Genomic DNA, 18,818 nt, shown 5'->3' on the forward strand with positions numbered 1-18,818 from the left:
TGTTTATTCCCATTCTTCTTTCTTCTGGCATTATTTTATTTATTCATTCATCATCCAACAACTATTGATTGGACAGTTATCACGCAGCAGACATGGGTATTGGGGATACTTCTTTGGCCTTTTTACCTAGTGTATGTCTAGGTTGGTAGAAGTTAGGTTTTAAAAGCATATTTAATCCAGCATTTATGCAAAGTATTATTAAAGCCCTGGTGGTACTCTTGAACTGAACTGCCGCATATAGCTGTGTGGAACATATCCAGAGTTGCTTCCTATCTGCTATGTACTGGATAAAGGGAGTTCCCCGGCTCCAAGCAGTACTGAAGATTCTGTGGCCTGTGGTGTAGACGATGGGAAACAAAGGACTATGGGTGAGAATTTACTGAGTACTGGGGCATGCTGCTGAGGTAACTCTTAGGAATATTTGACAGTTGCAGCCAGCTTTCCAATCACCATCTTTCTTTTTCTTCTAAGTAGTCCAGGAATCAGTTTGGTTAAATTCCTTTCTTCTGCAATTTGACCAAGACTCCTTTCTTCCCTGGTCCTCACTGTGGGACCAAAACCATGTTTTATTGCTTCTTTGTTTCCTTTATGTTTCTGTAGCAGACAATTCTTTTAAGATTTTCTGAAGAGTGTTGTTTTTTGCAGTGGGGAAAAAGATGAGAGTGAAAAAGGCACTTCTTCAATATTTCTCAAACTATATGTCAAGACTCGTTGGTGAGGCATGAAATCAATTTAGTGGATTGTGAAATTGATTTAGTGAGTAGCAGCCAGAGTTGTTTTGTTGTTGTTTTGTTTTATTTCTAGTGGAATCGAATAGAAAATATTAGAGTGGATTGCATGGAGGAAGGGTCAGTATTGTTTCATAAGCTTTTGTTTCATATATGAAAATGTTACTTATTATGGGTCACAGCCAAAAAACTTAAAAGCTTACACTTTATGGTGCCTCTCTTTTTCAACTTCTTTGCCTTTTCTCACCCTTTCTCAATTACCCTTCCTCACATCACTGTTGTCATTAAAGTTGATACAGAGAGTTAGGAAGTTAAAAAGGGAGGTCTCTGAGGTAACAAAGTTCTAACATATTATTTTCCCTCTTTGTACCTCCCTTATGTTACTTGTCACTTTCTTTTTTGATTTTTGAGACAGTCTTGCTCTGTTGCCCAGGCTGGAGTGCAGTGGTGCGATCTTGGCTCACTGCAACCTCTGCCTCCCAGGTTCAAGCGATTCTCAGGCCACAGCCTCCCAAGTAGCTGGGATTTCAGGCGCAGGCCACCATGCCCAGCTAATTTTTGTATTTTTAGTAGAGATGGGGTTTCACCATGTTGGCCAGGCTAATCTTGAACTCCTGACCTTAGGAGATCTGCCTGCCTTAGCCTCCAAAGGTGCGGGGATTACAGGCATGAGCCACTGTGCCCAGCTGACTTCTCACTTTACATTCATTCATTTTCCAAACATTCATTCTTACATGCCAGGCACAGTTCTCTGCACTATTCAGTTGTTATGCATTTGACAGATAATTTATTAACTATCTACTCGGTGCAAGGCAACATGGGTACTAAGATGAATGTGACACAATCCTTACCCTCAAGGAGTTTACCATTTAGTGTGGGAGATTTAAGAGTTTGTTACCACCATTTGTACTTTGTCCTCCCCTCTGCCCTTTCCTCTACTTCCCTAACCTGTAGGTCTTTGGGATCCTGGGGTAACAAAGTCAGAAAAAGCCTTCTTTGACTCTTAAGAATTTTAAATTTTATTCATACAATAAACATTCATCGGACACTTATTTTATGCCAAGCTGTGCTCTGTTTGCTGAAGATACATCAGAGAACAAAAGAGATATCAATCGCTGTCCTTATGGAACTTATAGTCTAATTGGGAGAGATACAATAGACAACATGATGAATGGCAAAGTATATAGTATGCTAAAGGTAATATGCTATGAAAAACAGAACAAAGGAAGGGGGATTGGAGTCTCAGCCATTGAGGAAGGAAGGTGGCAATTTAAAATAGAGTAGAAAGGTTTGGCATTAGGCCAGGAGTGTTGGCTCCTGCTTGTAATCCCAACACTTTGGGAGGTCAAAGCAGGCCGATCGCTGGAGCCCAGGAGTTCGAGACCAGCCTGAGCAACATGGCAGAACTCCATATCTACAAAAAGTAGCAGGGTGTGGTGGTGTGCGCCTGTCGTCCCAACTACTCAGGGGGCTGAGGCAGGAGGATCACCTGAGCCTTAGGAGTTCAAGGCTGCAGTGAGCCGTGATCATACCACTGCACTCCAGCCTGGGCAACAGAGTTAAACCCTATCTCAAAAAAAAAAAAAGAAAGAAAAGAGATGTTTGGCCTTTCTGAGAGTGCCAAGTCCTAACCGTCAGACCACCAGGGAAGGTAGGTTTGGCCTTTCTGAGAAGGTGACGTTTGAGCATAGACTTTGACATTTGAGCATACCGTTAGTCTTGGGGGTAATACAGTTAGCCAAAGGTTATCTGAGGGAAAACATGCAAGGCAGAGGAAGCAGCAGTGGATAGGTCCTGTGGACTAGTATGGCTGGCATGATGCAAGAGCAGGGAGAAGACCAGTGTCGCCAGAGTGAGGGAAGAGGAGTAGAAAATGAGACGATGTCCATAAGGAAATGGGGGTCAGATGTTATAGGCCCTTGCCAAGACTTGGTCTTAGATTACTCTGGGTGAAATGAGGAGCTGTTTCAGGTTTTCAAGCAGAGAAGGGACCTGATCAAACCTAAATGTTTAAAAAACCTCTCTGGCTGTTCTGATGAGCCTAGATTCTTGAGGGGCAAAGGGGGGAACAGTTAGGAGGCTATTGCAGGAACTGAGGCACAGATTTTGGTGGCTGTGACCAGGATGACAGCAGTAAAGGTGGTGGACAGTGGCCAGATTCTGATATATTTTCAAGGTAGAACCAACAGTATCTGCTGATGGATTGCCTTTGGGATGTGAGAGAAAGAGTCAACAGTGACTCCAAGATTTCTGGAAAATAGCCTGGTGCGGTGGCTCGCATCTGTAATCCCAGCACTTTGGGGAGGCCCAGGTGGGTGAATCACCTGAGGTCAAGAGTTCGAGACCAGCCTGGCCAACATGGTGAAACCCCATCTGTACTAAAAACAAAAAATTAGCCTGGCATGGTGACGCGTGCCTGTAGTCCCATCCACTCAGGAGGCTGAGGCAGAAGAATTGCTTGAACCCGGGAGGTGGAGGTTACAGTGAGCCGAGATCACGCCAGTGCACTCCAGCCTGGGTGACAGAGTGAGATTCCAACTCAAAAAAAAAAAAAAAAAAAAATTTAAAAAAAATAAAGATTTCTGGCTTGAGTTACTAGAACAGTGGAGTCGCCAGGAACTGAGATGGAGAAAGCTGCAGATAGAGCAGATGGAGGGCAAGCTTAGGAATTGTGTGGGGTGTTGTGTTTGAACATCCAAGTGGGGACAGTCATTAGGCAGCAGGCCTGGTGAATGAGGGTCAGGAGAGCGGTCCAGGTTGGAGATAAAAAAATCTGTGGGTTATCAGCATATAGAACATATAAAAAGCCACAAAACTACATGATACCATCTAGGCAGTGAGTAGAAGAGAAAGGACTATTGTCCATTTCAACATTGAAAGGTTGGGAAGAAGAGGAAGACCCACATAGGAGAGTAAGGTAGGAAGATGAAAGGAAGATGAAAGAGGAGATGAAAGCCGACTGAAGAAGGAGCTTGGGGAGTGATACAGTTTGGATGTTGTCTCCACCCAAATCTCATGTCAAAATGTCACCCCCAGTGTTGGAGGTGGGGTCTGGTGGGAGGTGATTGGATCATGGGGGCAGCTTTCTCCTGAACGGTTTAGCACCATCCTCCTTGGTACTGCCCTCACCATAGTGAGTGAGTTCTCATCTCGTTTTTAAAAGTGTGTAGCACACCACCTGGCTCTCTTGTTCCTGCTTTTGCCATGTGACGTGCCTGCTCCCTCTTCACCTTCCACCGTGAGTACAAGCTCCCCAAGGCCTCCCCAGAAGCCAAGTGATGTTGGAGCCATGCTTGTACAGCATGCAGAACTGTGAGCCAGTTAAACCTCTTTTATAAATTACCCAGTCTCAGGTATTTCTTTCTTTTTTTTTTTTTTTTTTGAGACGGAGTCTTGCTCTGTTGCCCAGGCTGGACTGGAGTGCAGTGGTGCGATCTCAGCTCACTGCAACCTCCGCCTCCCAGGTTCAAGCGATTCTCCTGCCTCAGCCTCTTGAGTAGCTGGGATTACAGGCGTGCGCCACCACACCTGGCTAATTTTTTTGTATTATTAGTAGTGACGGGGTTTCACCATGTTGACCAGTCTGGTCTTGAACTCCTGACCTCAGGTGATCCACCCACCTAGGCCTCCCAAAGTGCTGGGATTACAGGTGTGAGCCACTGTGCCGAGCCTAGGTATTTCTTTATAGTAATGCGAGAACAGACTAATACAGGGAGTGATCAATTGTGTCAGATTATGCTGATAGTTCTTACAAAATGGGACTGATCGTCAGGTTTAGTAGTCTGTACATCCCCTTCACATCACTTACACCGTTTGTAATTATTAATTTATAATTATGGTTGTTCAGTGTCTTCTTTGCTAGAATGAAAACTTCTTGAGGATAGGGACAGTGTTTGCTTTGTTTGTTTTATTATAGTCATTGTAGACATTCAATAAATATTTGATGAGTGAGTAAATGAGTGAATGAATGTGCAATATGATTACCTTCTGCCTAGCTCCAAAATATATTCTGGACAAAGCTTATATAATAGGCAGAATGTTCTGTATCAGGGAATATAGAGGGCATTATCTGGTCCAGCAGGAAAAATCAGCTCATTGCTGAGATCTTTGCTTTAGCTTCAAGATATTCATTTTAGAAGGTTTACTAGACATCTTGGAGCCAGTGATGTTATTTGGTCCTAGACTTGATGACACACTAAATCCAATTTACAGTCATGTTCCTTGTGGTGCATGGTATGATGAATTATGTACTGGATGTTGTGTTTTGTTTTTGTTTTTTGAGACAGAATCTCTGTCACCCAGGCTGGAATGCAGTGGCGCCATCTCGGCTCACTGAAACCTGTGCCTCCTGAGTTCAAGTGATTATCCTGCCTCAGCCTCCTGAGTAGCTGGGACTACAGGCATGCACCACCACACCTGGCTAATTTTTGTATTTTTTTTTTTAGTAGAGACAGGGGTTTCACCACATTGGCGAGGGTGCTCTAGAACTCCTGACCTCAAGTGATCCACCCACCTCAGCCTCCCAAAGTGCTGGGATTACAGGTGTGATCCACCGTGCCTGGCCTACAGGGTGCTTTTGAGACATAGTAGCTCAGGATAAAGGATCAGAGCAGTAGATTTTCAAAAGTAGGTAAACAATTGAAATGAGATCTCAAGGGGATGTTGGAATTTTTCAAAAAGGAGAACTGGGAAAGACATTTCTTGGCAGAGGGAGCGACGCATGCAAAGATTGCAGTTTGGGAAAATACTTTCTGTGCGGTGGAACTACAAGGTTGGTGTATGTATGATAGGGTGTGGGCTTGTTATTTCCCACTGAACTTGAGCAACTCAAGTTGTACAGGTTGACTGGAATGTTGGGTGAGTTTGAGAGTGTGGGGAAGATGGATGAGATGGATGGTCTTGTCTGCCAAGTTTAGGAGCTTGAATTTTAACCTATATTCAGTGGAGAGCCACTGAAGAATCTTAGAAGCAGAGGATTAATAATAAACTGGGGAAAATAGGAGCAGTGAAGTAATATGGTTGCTGATGAGGTTTAGGAAGTTTAATCTGGCATCTGAATATGGGATGGCTTGTAAGACTGTAGAGAGAAGAGGCAGGAAAGCTAGCTAGAATATTACATTATTCATGAGTGAGGCAATGAAAATGGAGGAGTGAAAATGGATTTGAGAGGGTGTTCAGGCTCTTGGCTGTTTGAGAGGCCTCTATTTAAAAGAAAACACTCATCTCCTCATCTTAGACGACAGCGTAGAGTGACTCTCTTTATGTCAGCTGGAACCAGAAGTAATCTCCCAACATTATTGCCTTTCAAGAAAAAGGAGATTTATTGTGCTTAACGGAGTGGGTACAGTGTAACATACATTATCCTCAATCAGAGCAGTGTCCCGGTCTCCCACTTGGCTTCTCAGCTGCATGTTCTTCTCAACACTGACTTCATTGCTCCTCCTGGTTTTAGCACTTCCACCCTGCTGAATTCAGCACATCCAGAGAAAGGATCAGAGGGCCGGCCTCTAGTTGTTTCACAACATGGAATTTCAGGCTTCCAACTAGGTCACCTCCAGAATTGTAATTTTTTTCTTTTTATAAGACCTGTTTCATGGTTCTTGCTGAAATGGAGGGTGGGGAAGGGGAGAGGGATGATGGCTGCTATTCACAATGCCTACTCTTACCTCATGACTGGTCTGGGCAAGTATGGTAGAAGCAGGAAAGTCCACTTTTGGGTGGATTTGATTTGGGCTTGGGGTGGGGAGTCTGGGAATGGCAGCTACTGATTTGGTAATGGCTACAGAGAGGAAGGCAGTAGAAGTACCACAGAGCAGCTGCAGACTTCTGTCACCTGGACTATATTACAAATAGATTTGGGAACTCAGCTAACCAGGGAGGGTGAGGCGACAAGGTGGCAGCTCACCTCCTTCCTGTCTGGTGCTAGAAATCAAAACCTGTTCACTAACTAGGTTAAACAGTTTATACCATTTTCATTGATTCTGACATGCCCATGCTTTATATTTGTACATCTCTGATCTCAGTCTGTATCTTACAATGGATGATATATCATAGTTTAATTGGCAGCTTTTTTCTTTCTTTAGTGGTCCCTAAGGTAATGGTGCGCTGTATAATCAGTGGTATCATTGGTTCAGTGGATACACACATGAGTGTGTGGATATGTTTGGTGGTGGCTGACAGGTGTCAAAGAGGGGAAACAAGCTCTCTTCCCAGAGAAGGAGTCATCACAGGCAATGCTGATATTTTAAGCCTCATACACACTTCATATGTTTATGTGAAAGGAAATCTTTGGTCTTAAGACTGTTGGTACTGTCTGTTTTCAGGCAGTAATCTCTTAGCTGTTATCAGGAGAATCAATTGGAAGCTATTAGATGTCTCTTCAGTTATTTCTTAATAAGACTTAAGTTTTCAGGTCGATGTTGTTGACTCTTGTGATCCATGGCTTATCTGCTTTCATTATAAATTTTGCTTATTTTCTTTCCCAGAAATCATCAGTGAATTTCATTTGATTGATCCTACTGTTAACCTGCTTTTATTGTTACCAGTTTTTTCTAACCTATTGGGTTAGCTTGTTGGCATTGCAAAATCTGTGTTGAGAAATACTCAATGGCCCACTCCTTGAGTTTTGAGTGCCTAGTTGTACCTTCTTTGTATCTTTCCTAGAAAGATTGTTAAAGTAATGATAGGTTGGAGGAACATTTCTTATTCTATAGACACTCACACACACACACACAGCATGTATATACTTATACATGACATATTTTATTAGACTTCTAATTTAGAGTTTTTAAGGATTCTTGTACAATTCATGTAGTTTACATGGAGACTAGCAGTGTGCATGTATGCATATAGTCTCAAAATAGATTATACTCAATTATGTACAGAAAAGTTCTGCAGTTTTCGGGAGTGAGATGATAACTGAACTCCAAGAACTTTGGTTAACAAGGTTAACCATTTAGTTGCATTAAGGATGAGAGCCTGGCTCTGAAGTCAGGCTGCTGGGTGTTTGAATTTTAGCTTCTGTGACCTTGGGCAAGTTACTTAACTTCTCTGTGCTTCACTGCTCCTATTTATAAAATGGGAATAACAACAGGACCTACCTCAGGGTTCTAAGAATTAGGTAAGATAATGTATGTAAAATAGGTAACAGCATGCCTGGCACAGGGTACACTTAATGAATGGTAGGTGCTATTTTTTATTTTATTTTATTCATTTTTAATTTTTCTGTTTTTTTGACAAACAAATAGGGTCTCACTCTGTCACCCAGGCTAGAATGCAATGGCACAGTCATAGCTCACTGCAGCCTCAAATTCCTAGGCTCAAGCAATCTTCCTGCCTCAGCCTCCAGAATATCTGGGATTATAGGCTCTAGCCACAACATTCAGCTGCTATTTTTTTTTTATTATTAATAAAGGATCAGTTCAAGAGTGAGACCAGAGCTCTTGCTCTTGATCTGTTGGTTAAGGAAAAAATTATTTCTAGGGCTGGACACGGTGGCTCACACCTGTAATCCCAGCACTTTGGAAGGCCAAGGCAGGAGGACGGCTTGAGCCCACGAGTTGGAGACCAGCCTGGGAAACATAGCAGGACCCCATTTCTACCAAAAAAAAAAGCTGGATATGGTGGGAGGGTGAGGTAGGAGGATCGTTTGAGAGCCCAGGAGATCAAGGCTGCAGAGAGCCATGATCTCACCACTGCCTTTGGCCTGGGTGACAGTGTGAGACCCTATCTCAAAAAAAAAAAAAAAAAAAAAAAAATTATTCCTAGTAAATGATTTTTAGTTATGAAGTAGAAAAGTGTCTTCTAACTCAGTGCTTTCAAGAAATTCCCTAAATTAATTGAACATTAAACAAAATAGGGATGTAAGTTCCATGAAGGTAGATGCCTTATGTCTGTTTTGTCAACATCTGTGTCCTTAATATCTAGAATAGCGCCTGACTTACATATAGTAAGTGCTTAATAACTATTTGTTAAATGAATGAAAAAGGGCCAATGGCTCTTAAAAGCTACAGACATTTCATCTTATAGATGAAAATATGTAAGTTATTCTAGTATGTAATAATTTAAAATTGTATTTTAACAATATATGGAAATAAGCTTTAACTAAAATACTAGAAACTCACAAACCTAAGTACATTTAAATAAGTTGACTTTCTGTGAACCTATGAATTATGTTGGAAAGTAAATAAATAAATAAATAGACTTTTCTTGTTTGATGTAAACTAGGATATATGTAAGAAAATTGAGATGTTACTGTTGACAATGTGTAATTAATAATGTACTGTTAATTGTAGAGTTTAAAGTTACTTCACATAAGAGACATAATTTTAAAAGTACACCTAACATGGTAAAAATTTTATGCAAACATTAACAGCAGTTATCCCTGGATAGGGAAATTATAATTAATTAAGCAATTTTTTCCTTTTACTTCTCTTTCTTTTCTTTTTTTCTTTTTTTTTTTTTTTTTGAGACGGAGTCTCGCTCTGTCACCCAGGCTGGAGAACAGTGGAGTAATCTCAGCTCATTGCAACCTCTGCCTCCCAGGTTCAAGCAATTCTCCTACCTCTGCCTCCCAAGTAGCTGGGACTACAGGCGCTCGCCACCATGCTTGGCTAATTTTTGTATTTTTAGTAGAGATGGGGTTTCACCATGTTGACCAGGCTTGTCCCAAACTCCTGACCTCAAGTGATCCACCCACCTCGGCCTCCCACAGTGCCGGGATTACAGGCGTGAGCCACCGCACCTAGCTATTTTCTAATATTTTCTACAAAACAGTGTTGTGTGAATTTAAAAAGGACCCCCAGAAATCCAACCAATATTTATTGAGTGTTTTTCAAGGAACCTATTCACTGACTAGGTGAAAGAGTTTATACTACTTTCATTGATTCTGAGATGCCCATGCTTTATATTTGTACATCTCAGATACCAGTCTGTTTCTTACAATAGATGATATATCATAATTTAATTGGCAGCTTTTTTGTTTCCTTAGTGGTCCCTAAAGTAATGGTGCACTGTATAATCAGTGGTATTGTTGGTTCAGTGAATACCCACAAGAATGTGTGCATGTGTTTGGTGGTGGCTGACAGGTGTTAAAGAGGCGAAACAAGCTCTCTTCCCAGAGAAGGAGTCATCACAGGCAATGCTGATGTTTTAAGCCTCATACGCACTCCATATGTTTATGTGAAAGGAAATCTTTGGCATTAAGACTGTTGGTACTGTCTGTTTTCAGGCAGTAATCTCTTAGCTGTTATCAGGAGAATCAATTGGAAGCTATTAGAGGTCTCTTCAGTTATTCCTTAAACAGGCATGCAAATTCTTGAGCATTCTAAATCAGAAAGTTCATTGAATTTTACTTTGAGTCTTATGGTTTGGTCTGTAGTATAAGGCAGTGTTGCAGGGTAAGGAACATGTGTTTTCCACCCAGTTCTCTCCGTAGAACATTTGGTAAATCCTGGGGCCAGGCGTGGTGGCTCATGCCTGTAATCCCAGCACTTTGGGAGGCTGAGGCGGACGGATCACAAGGTCAGGAGTTCGAGACCAGCCAACATGGTGAAACCCCGTTTCTATTAAAAATACAAAAAAATTGCCAGCAGTGGTGGCGCACGCCTGTAATCCCAGCTACTCAGAAGGCTGGGTTCAATCACTTGAACCCAGGAGGCAGAGGTTGCGGTGAGCGGAGATCACGCCATTGCACCCCAGCCTGGGTGACAGTGCAAGACTGTCTCAAAAACAAAAATAAAAACAAAAAAACAAAAAAAATTTGGCAAATCCCTTAAGCAATCTGGACTTTGTTTTCATCAGCTAAGAAATGAAAGGATTAGCCTTGATAATTGTGAAGGGTGGTGCTTGCTTGTTACTTCCATAGTTTTATTATTTGATTTGGAGTTATGAGTGTATGTGTGTGTGTGTTTTCTCTACAGCCATACACACTGCTGCTATGGATATGCTGGGAGGACCTGGTATCGAAAGCCAGTGTAGAAAAGTTGATATCATTGCAGATGCAGCATATTCCATTTTCCAAAAGCCAAAAAGTTTTACTGGCAACTTTGTCATTGATGAAAATATCTTAAAAGAAGAAGGAATAGAAAATTTTGACGTTTATGCAATTAAACCAGGTAATGCTTTTATAGTTTTTAAAAGTAGTGATACGTTTTTCCATATTTTCTGCAATGAACATATCTGTTTTTTGTGTGTGTTTGTGTGATTGTAAAATGAATGTGTTCTTTTAAAAGCTGTCTTCCCAATGAAGGAAGAAAACCCATACCAACACAACTTAAAAAAAAAGATGAATGAAAAATAGAGGTGAGTTGAGGGCTTTTGAAGTGATATATATATATATATATATAAGCACAGAAAGTCAGATCAGTTACTAGCCACTTCTAAATCTCGAAATAAGAAATGAAAATTATTTTTTAAAGTTGGTCTTAAAATCACAGAGTAAAGATTTTGTTCAAGAATATGTGGTAACAGATGGTACAGTAGTGGGTTATGTATTTATTTATTTATTTGAGAAAGGGTCTCACTCTGTCACCCAGGTTGGAGTGTAGTGGCGCAATCTCAGCTCACTGCAACCTCTACCTCCCAGGCTCAAGCAATCCTTCCACCTCAGCCTCTAGAGTAGCTGGGACTATAGGCATGTGCCACCACACCTGGTTAATTTTTGTATTTGTAGATGTGGGGTTTCACCATGTTGCCCAGGCTGGTCTTGAACTCCTGAGCTCAAGTGATCTGCCTGCCTTGGCCTCCTAAAGTGTTAGGATTACAGGCGTGAGCCACTGCACCTGGCACAGTAATGAATTTTTTTGTTTAAAATAATTTATGATTGTGGACTCTCTAAATATTTGTCTCTTAAGCGCAGTCTCTTAGAGTAGCTTAATGACAGATGGTGTAGATGAGTGGGCAGGCTCTGTCTCATGGACAGTAAAGTGATCTGAGAAGCTTCTAGAAAGCCCTCTTGTTAAGTAACTCTCCCTCTCTGAAATTGGGGATGATAATGATAATAATGGATTTTTACCATATAGAATATGATGTATTCTAATATAGCCATACATAGGAGTTATATTTATTTGCGCTAAAGTATATTTTAAATATTATTCATTAAACTGAGCTTCTAAATGACACAAACCACGTTTATATTTGTATCATCCCTGCTCATCTCTGCAGTTCAAACTAAAGTAAATAGCGGATTATAGTTTTACAAAGCACTCTTATATGCATTATCTATTTAGCCTGCATAACAATTCTGTACGGAAAGTAATGCTTAGTGATTAAGAACACGAAATTTGGGAGAAGACAACCCAGCTTCATATTGCAGCTCTGCTGCTCACTGCTATGCAGCTTTGAGCATGTCACCCAGTTTGTCTGTCTCAGCCTCAATTTCCATATTGGTAAACTTAAGAGAATGATACATTTCATACAAGATTTTTGTAAAGGCTAAATGTGATAATGTATAATGTGTTTGGCACAGTGCCCAGCATATAGTACACTCAGAATATTTAGTAGTTAATATTTACAAGTGGAAAAACAGGCTCAGAGAGATTGAGCCTTTGCCTAAGAGCAGATGGCTAATAGGTGGCAGAACCTGACCAGATTCAGGTCTTCCGGGTCCTGGTACCCAGGAATATAATTATTACCTTAGGTTTTAAAGACACAGTGTAATTGTGCGCAAGTTTTAAAATTTTATTTAAATTAAAAATCCTATTAAGTATTGAGAACTTAAAATGACCAGATACTATGATATTAGGATATAACAAAGATGAATTCATTCCTGCCCTCCAGAAGTTTGCTTAAACTTCTGAAAAAGAGAGAGAGAGAGGCAGGAGACCGAGGCAGGAGGCTCATTTGAGCCCAGAAGTTTGAGACCAGCCTGGGCAAAACAGCAAGACCCCATGTCAAAAAAAAAAAGAGAGAAAAGAAAAAGAGAACAATTGAGATTGTTAACATCTCACTGTACTACAGTTTTGAAGGCTTTGTGGCCTTTAAATCTTCTAGTGTGCACATGTCTTGGAGTTATCAGTGTAATTAAAACAGTTAACCTATTTGCTAACCACAACCATTAGCTGAAAATAAGACCCAGTGGAGGCTGTGTGCAGTGGCTCACACCTGTAATCCCAGCACTTTGGGAGGCCAAGGCCAGTGGATCGCTTGAGCCAAGGAGTTCAAGACCATACTGGGCAACATGGCAAAACCCCATCTCTACAAAAAATAAAAATGAGTGTTCAGGCACGGTGGCTCACGCCCATAATCCCAGCACATTGGGAGGCTGAGGTGGGTGGATATCCTAGGTCAGGAGTTTGAGACCAGCCTGACCAATATGGTGAAACTCTATCTCTACTAAAAATATGAAAAGTAGCCAGGCATAGTGATGGGCACCTGTAATCCCAGCTACTTGGGAGGCTGAAGCAGGAGGATTGCTTGAACCTGGGAGGCAGAGGGTGCCATGAGCTGAGATCGTGCCACTGCACTCAAGCCTGGGTGACAGAGCGAGACTCCGTCTCAAAAAATAAATAAATAAATAAATAATAAATAAATAAATAAAAATTAGCTGGATATGGTGGCTTGCACCTGTGGTCCCTGTTACTTGGGAGGCTGAGGGAGGAGGATCACTTGAGCCCAGGAGGTGGAGGTTGCAGTGAGCCAAGATCATATCACTGCACTCCAGCCTGGGTGACAGTGAGACCCTGTGTCAATAATAATAATAATAACCCAGTGGAATAGGATGGAATAGGATAGCTTAGTGTTCATGATGATGGAGTGAGAGGAAGAGGGAAAGAGAGAAGAGACCCAAGTGCACTAATGCTGAGAAGAAAGTCCTTCTTAAGAAGGGGCCCTCTGCTTTTAGGACGGCAGGTAAGAAATAAGTCCTGACAACTTCGGAAGAATGTGGGCCAGAAGAGCAGTGTAGGATGAGAAGGGCAGAGGTTCCTGGGAGAGCAGGTAAAGGCTTTACAGAACAGGTGATCTTTTGGGGATTAAATCTTGAAGATAAAATTTATCAGAGGAGAGAAAGATAACTGAATTATGAGAAAATTAATTTAATGAAGATCAGGTCATTCGACAGTTCTCACAGAGGCCTTTTCTTTTGCACCAGAAAGATTTTTAATAAAATAGATATGTTTATTAAACAGATGTTAAAATCTTACTATGTTGTAGTTACATTAACCTAATGGTTTGGGGTCAATTTTTCAGGTCATCCTTTGCAACCAGATTTCTTCTTAGATGAATACCCAGAAGCAGTTAGCAAGAAAGTGGAATCAACTGGTAAGATCTAGACTATATTTTATGTTAGAAAATATAAATCCTAACTTATGTATTTCTTCCAAAATATGGAATTGATCCTATAACAGTGACATTTCTGCCTTCTGTTTTTAAACTGTTTTGTACTTTAAACTAAACAAGTAATGTGAGATCTCAGTTAATTCTAGTAAAGAAGGTTGTTTTGTTCATCTACCAGTAAGAAGTTTTAATAAGGCTGGGCACAGTGGCTCATACCTGTAATCCCAGCACTTTGGGAGGCTGAGGCGAATGGATCACTTGAGTCCAGGAGTTTGCGACGAGCTTGGGCAACATGGCGAAACCCCGTCTCTACAAAAAAAATACAAAAAAAAAATACGTTGGGCGTGGTGGCACGAGACTGTAGTCCCAGCTACTCAGGAGGCTGAGGTGGGAGGATCACCTGATCCCGGGAAGTTGAAGTTTCAGTGAGCCGTGATCGTGCCACTGCACTCTAGCCTGGGTGACAGAGCAAGACCCTGTCTCAAAAAAAAAAAAAAAAAAAAAAAAAAGAAGAAGTTATTAATATATTCTTTGCGTTTGGTTAAAAACAAGTCTGAAAAAACTTTTTTTTAGGTTTTATTTATTTTCTTTTGCACTGTCTTTAGGTATTTCATGTTGATATGTTATTTTGAGGAAAAGTGTGTCATATATCAAATACATCTAACACCATTTCCACAGTTTGTGTTATGTGACTATTTTATGAAAGAAATCAACTTCAAAGGAGGTTTGGGTTTTACTTTGTTTTGTTTCTGTAATTCATAAACAATAGTGCCCTTGAATTGGTCCAGAGTTTACATTTTAGACTTTGTGTTCTGACATTTTGCCAGTGGCTTACTTGAAGAAACACTTTAATGAATACCTGTGGGAAGAATTTCTCTCATGGTTTACTAATAAGAATGGCTGTGCTTCTTCTGGGCCCTTACCTTATTTTTATCTTATAGATGCTATGACTCTCATCGATTTTTTTTTTTAGAAGTCTGATAGAAAATGTAGGGATGAATTTCCTTGATACCTTTAGCAAATCTGTGGCACCTTACTGCAATGCATTTTAGAGCCAAACCTTATTTCCAGCTTTCTTTTATTTATTCTTTATTATTTATCTTTTCTTTTTCCAGATTTTTATGGTAATTTAAAAAAATTACTTAGGTAATAAAAAGGACTTTTTTGTATTACAGACAATTTAAAACAATAGAAAGGAAAATAGTTACTCATAATCCTACTACCCAGAGTATTAAAACCAGGAAAAACAAGACTGTCAGTCTGTTTCTCAAAAGGCCTCTTACAGAATGGTGGAAAATACCTAGAGAGCTTATCAAACTCTAGAAGAGTCTGGTCTTCAAGTTAGTTAAGTCCCAAACTCCGATTTTTGCCCAACGCCCTAAGGTTGGATCTGTCTTTTAGAAGAAGGCATGCATGAACTGAGATCATTTAAACTCCAAATTTTAAATAAGAACCACTTATTGATCATGTATGTTCTTTTTGTTTATTCAACAAATATTTACTGGGCACCTCCTATGTGCCAAACACTGTGCTAAGTACTTTACATGCATTGTCCTGTTTAATACCATTAATCCCCAAGACAGATACTCCCCTCATTTTACAGCTGCAATTGCACAGCCAGCAGGTGGCAGAACCAAGATTTAAACTCATATTTCTCTGATTTCAAAGCCCATGTCTTTAACCAGTAAACTTAAATGGCTTTCCTAACACTTGAATACTTAGTCTTTTAAATTTTAGCATATTCTTAGTCTGGGCAACATGGTGAGACCCTGTCTCTACAAAAAAATAAAAAAAATTAGCTGGCCATGGTGGCACATGCCTGTAGTCTCAGCTACTCAGGAGACTGAAGCAGGAGGATCCCTTGAGCTCAAGAGTTTGAGGCTGCAGTGAGCTATGATTGAGCTACAGCACTCCAGCCTGGGCAACAGAGCAAGACCCTGTCTCAAATAAATACGTAAATTAGCACATTCTTTCCCCTGATAATCCAGTTTATTAATTTATAACAAAGAGTTGCCATCTCATAGGTTAAACATGTAGGTGCTTGATCAGCACATTCTCTTCCTTTGGATATAATTGTGCATGAAACAGAATCATAGTCAGAAGGTCATTTCATGACCATGGAATCAGAACAAGGGAGTTAGATAGGTAGAGTGTAAAATCAGTGTTTACTGGCATCAGGCTTTGATAGGGATAACTTTGCCTATAGCCATCTCCACATAAGCAATGCTCTTACCCTTAAGGTTAGAAGACTCAAATTCCTTTGGCTAACTTCCCTCACCTAATGCTGCAGGAGCATTTACTTCTGTAGCTCTCTTTTTTTGATTCTGTGTGGTTCAGTCAATAGCAATTTTACCTGACCTTTTCTGTAGATATATTAATATACTCATATAGATAGTAGCCTGGGCTATAACTTACCTCTTTCAGTTTATTTCTTATGTCCTCTCATAGTTCAGCTCTTTGAGAACCATGTGTATCCCTTGTTTCCAAAGGGGGAGAGGTTCACCTTTCTATTGCACCAACAACTTATAATAACCCCTGTTACCATTTCATTATACCTTTTCCAGTATTCGTCGTGTGTATGTTAGCTCTTATATATGTAATTATTGTAGACAATGGACCTAGTTTTAAATTGATGGGTTTTTTTTTTCTTCCCATCTTAAAAGCAATATCAACCAGGCATAGTGGCTCACGCCTGTAGTCCCAGCACTTTGGGAGGCTGAGGTGGGAGGATCGCTTGAGCCCAGGAGTTCAAGACTAGTCTGGGCAACATGGCAAAACTTTGTCTCTACAAAAAGTACAAAAATTAGCTGGGTGTGATGGTGCATGCCTGTAGTCCCAGCTACTTGGGAGGCTGAAGTGGGAGGATCACTTGAGTTCAGGAGTTTGAGGTTGTAATGAGCTATGATCAAGCCATTAAACTCCAGCCTGGGTGAGAGAGTGAGACCCCTGTCTCAAAAAACAAACAAACGAAAATGCAATACCATTATTTCTTCATTGATTCCCCCCACCCCTACTCTCCACTGGAACACAGGGAGCCCACTCAGTCTTGTTTTTTTTTTTTTTTTTTTTGACTTCCAGCTTATTTTTGTTTTTATTTTTTATTTGGTTTAGAGACTGGGTCTCACCCCGTTGCCCAAGCTGGAGTGCAGTGGCTCGATCATAGCCCACTGCAGCCCTCAAAGTCCTGGACTCAAACAATCCTCTCACCTCAGCCTCACCAATAGCTGGGACTAGAGGTGCATGCCACCACGTCCAGCTAATTTTTAAATTTTTTGTAAAGAGGGGGTCTTGTTATATTGCCCAGGCTGGTCTCAAACTCCTGGCCTCAAACAATCATCCTGCCTCGGCCTCCCAAAGTGCTGGGATTACAGGCATGAGCTATGGCGCTGGGCCTATTTTCCTTCAGTTACAGTTTTAATTGCTTCTGTTGCAGTTGTTCTGGATTCTCAGAAACACTTATTCTTACCTTGGCTCCCCTTTCCCTTTCCCTGTAGTTAGCACCATTTCTCACTGGTTCTGGCTTTCTCTTCTGTATTCTGGAGACCTTGTTAAGTTTGTCCTCTGTATTAAAAAGGACAGTCTGATAAGATGTTCTATAGCTTAGTTTCTGTTCCATATTGTCTCAAATGGTTAATTTGCTATGGTGCTCACTTCCTTTTTCATTTTATCCTATTGTCTTTTCATCACAGCCGGTTATATATAACTTTCTGTCCCTGTTTCATATAGTTTTTTTTTTTAAGGCTTTATTTATTTATTTTTTTGAGACAGAGTCTCTATCACCCTGGCTGGAATGCAGTGGCATGATCTTGGCTCACTGCAACCTCCACCGCCCAGGTTAAAGCAATTCTCCTTCCTCAGCCTCCCTAGTAGCTGGGATTACATGGGTGTGCCACCATGCCCGGCTAATTTTGTATTTTTAGTAGAGATGGGGTTTCGCCACATTAGCCAGTCTGGTCTCAAACTTCTGACCTTGGGTGATCCACCCACCTTGGCCTCCCAAAGTGCTGGGATTACAGGCATGAGCCACTGTGCCTGGCCAAAGCTTTATTTTTTTTTATAGCATAAAGTTTTAGATTCACAGCAAAACTGAGAAGGTACAGAAATATCATATATCCCACACATGCATTACTTCCTTCCTTAGCAGCATCCTCTACCAGAGTGGTACATTTGTTAGAATTGATGAATCTGTATTGACACATCATAATGATATAGTTTTCGTGTGGAAGAATTCTTGTAGGTTTCATGGTAAATTAGTTTTAGATATTTGCTCTTCAGAATAGCCTCCATTGCCTGTGGCACATTATTTTTTTCATAGGCATCAGGTTATTTTTTTTTTCTGTTAATTCTTCCTCATATTAGGAGATATCTCTAGAGCTAGTGTAGTCAAAGGCAGGAATGTGTAGGTTGCTTTTGGCTCCCTTCCCTGTCTATATGGAGGAATTCCTTTTTCTGAGCTGTAGTTTCAGATGTGGCACCTGTTGGGCAAATAGCTCAGGCCAGTGTGCAAGGCTGACATGTGACCTTCCTTTACTTCCTCTGTTTAAAACTACTCTCCAGGCCTGGCTCAGTGGCTAATGCCTGTAATCCCAGCACTTTGGGAGGCTGTGGTGGGAGGATTGCCCGAGGCCAGGAGTTCGAGATGAGCCTGGGCAATGTAGCAATAGCAAGATCCCATTTCTACAAAAAATTTTTAACAATAGCCAGGCGTGGTGGTATGTACCTGTGGTCTCAGGTACTTGGGAGGCTGAGGCGGGAGGATCACTTGAGCCCAGGAGTTCAAGCTTGCAGCAAGCTGTGATTGTGCCATTGCACTCC

At 40.9% G+C, this 18,818-nt stretch overlaps 1 protein-coding gene across 6 annotated transcripts in view; it reads left to right on the forward strand.

Annotated features, from left to right (window-relative positions):
• HSDL2 (hydroxysteroid dehydrogenase like 2) overlaps positions 1-18,818 on the forward strand; it is a 92,298-nt gene that overhangs the window by 47,675 nt on the left and 25,805 nt on the right. For 5 of the 6 annotated variants that reach the window (NR_036651.2, NM_032303.5, NM_001195822.2 and 2 more), the window contains 2 exons: positions 10,649-10,843; positions 13,917-13,988. Coding sequence is in view for 5 of the 6 variants with exons in the window: in NM_032303.5 (NP_115679.2) it covers positions 10,649-10,843; positions 13,917-13,988 (267 nt within the window). In the remaining variant the exon portion in view is untranslated. Of the gene's footprint in view, positions 1-10,648; positions 10,844-10,960; positions 11,031-13,916; positions 13,989-18,818 lie in introns of those variants that run through there. The other variant, XM_011519091.4, reaches the window with a different exon arrangement.

This window comes from Homo sapiens, chromosome 9 (assembly GCF_000001405.40).
Source record: "Homo sapiens chromosome 9, GRCh38.p14 Primary Assembly".
NCBI classification, from domain to species: domain Eukaryota; kingdom Metazoa; phylum Chordata; class Mammalia; order Primates; family Hominidae; genus Homo; species Homo sapiens.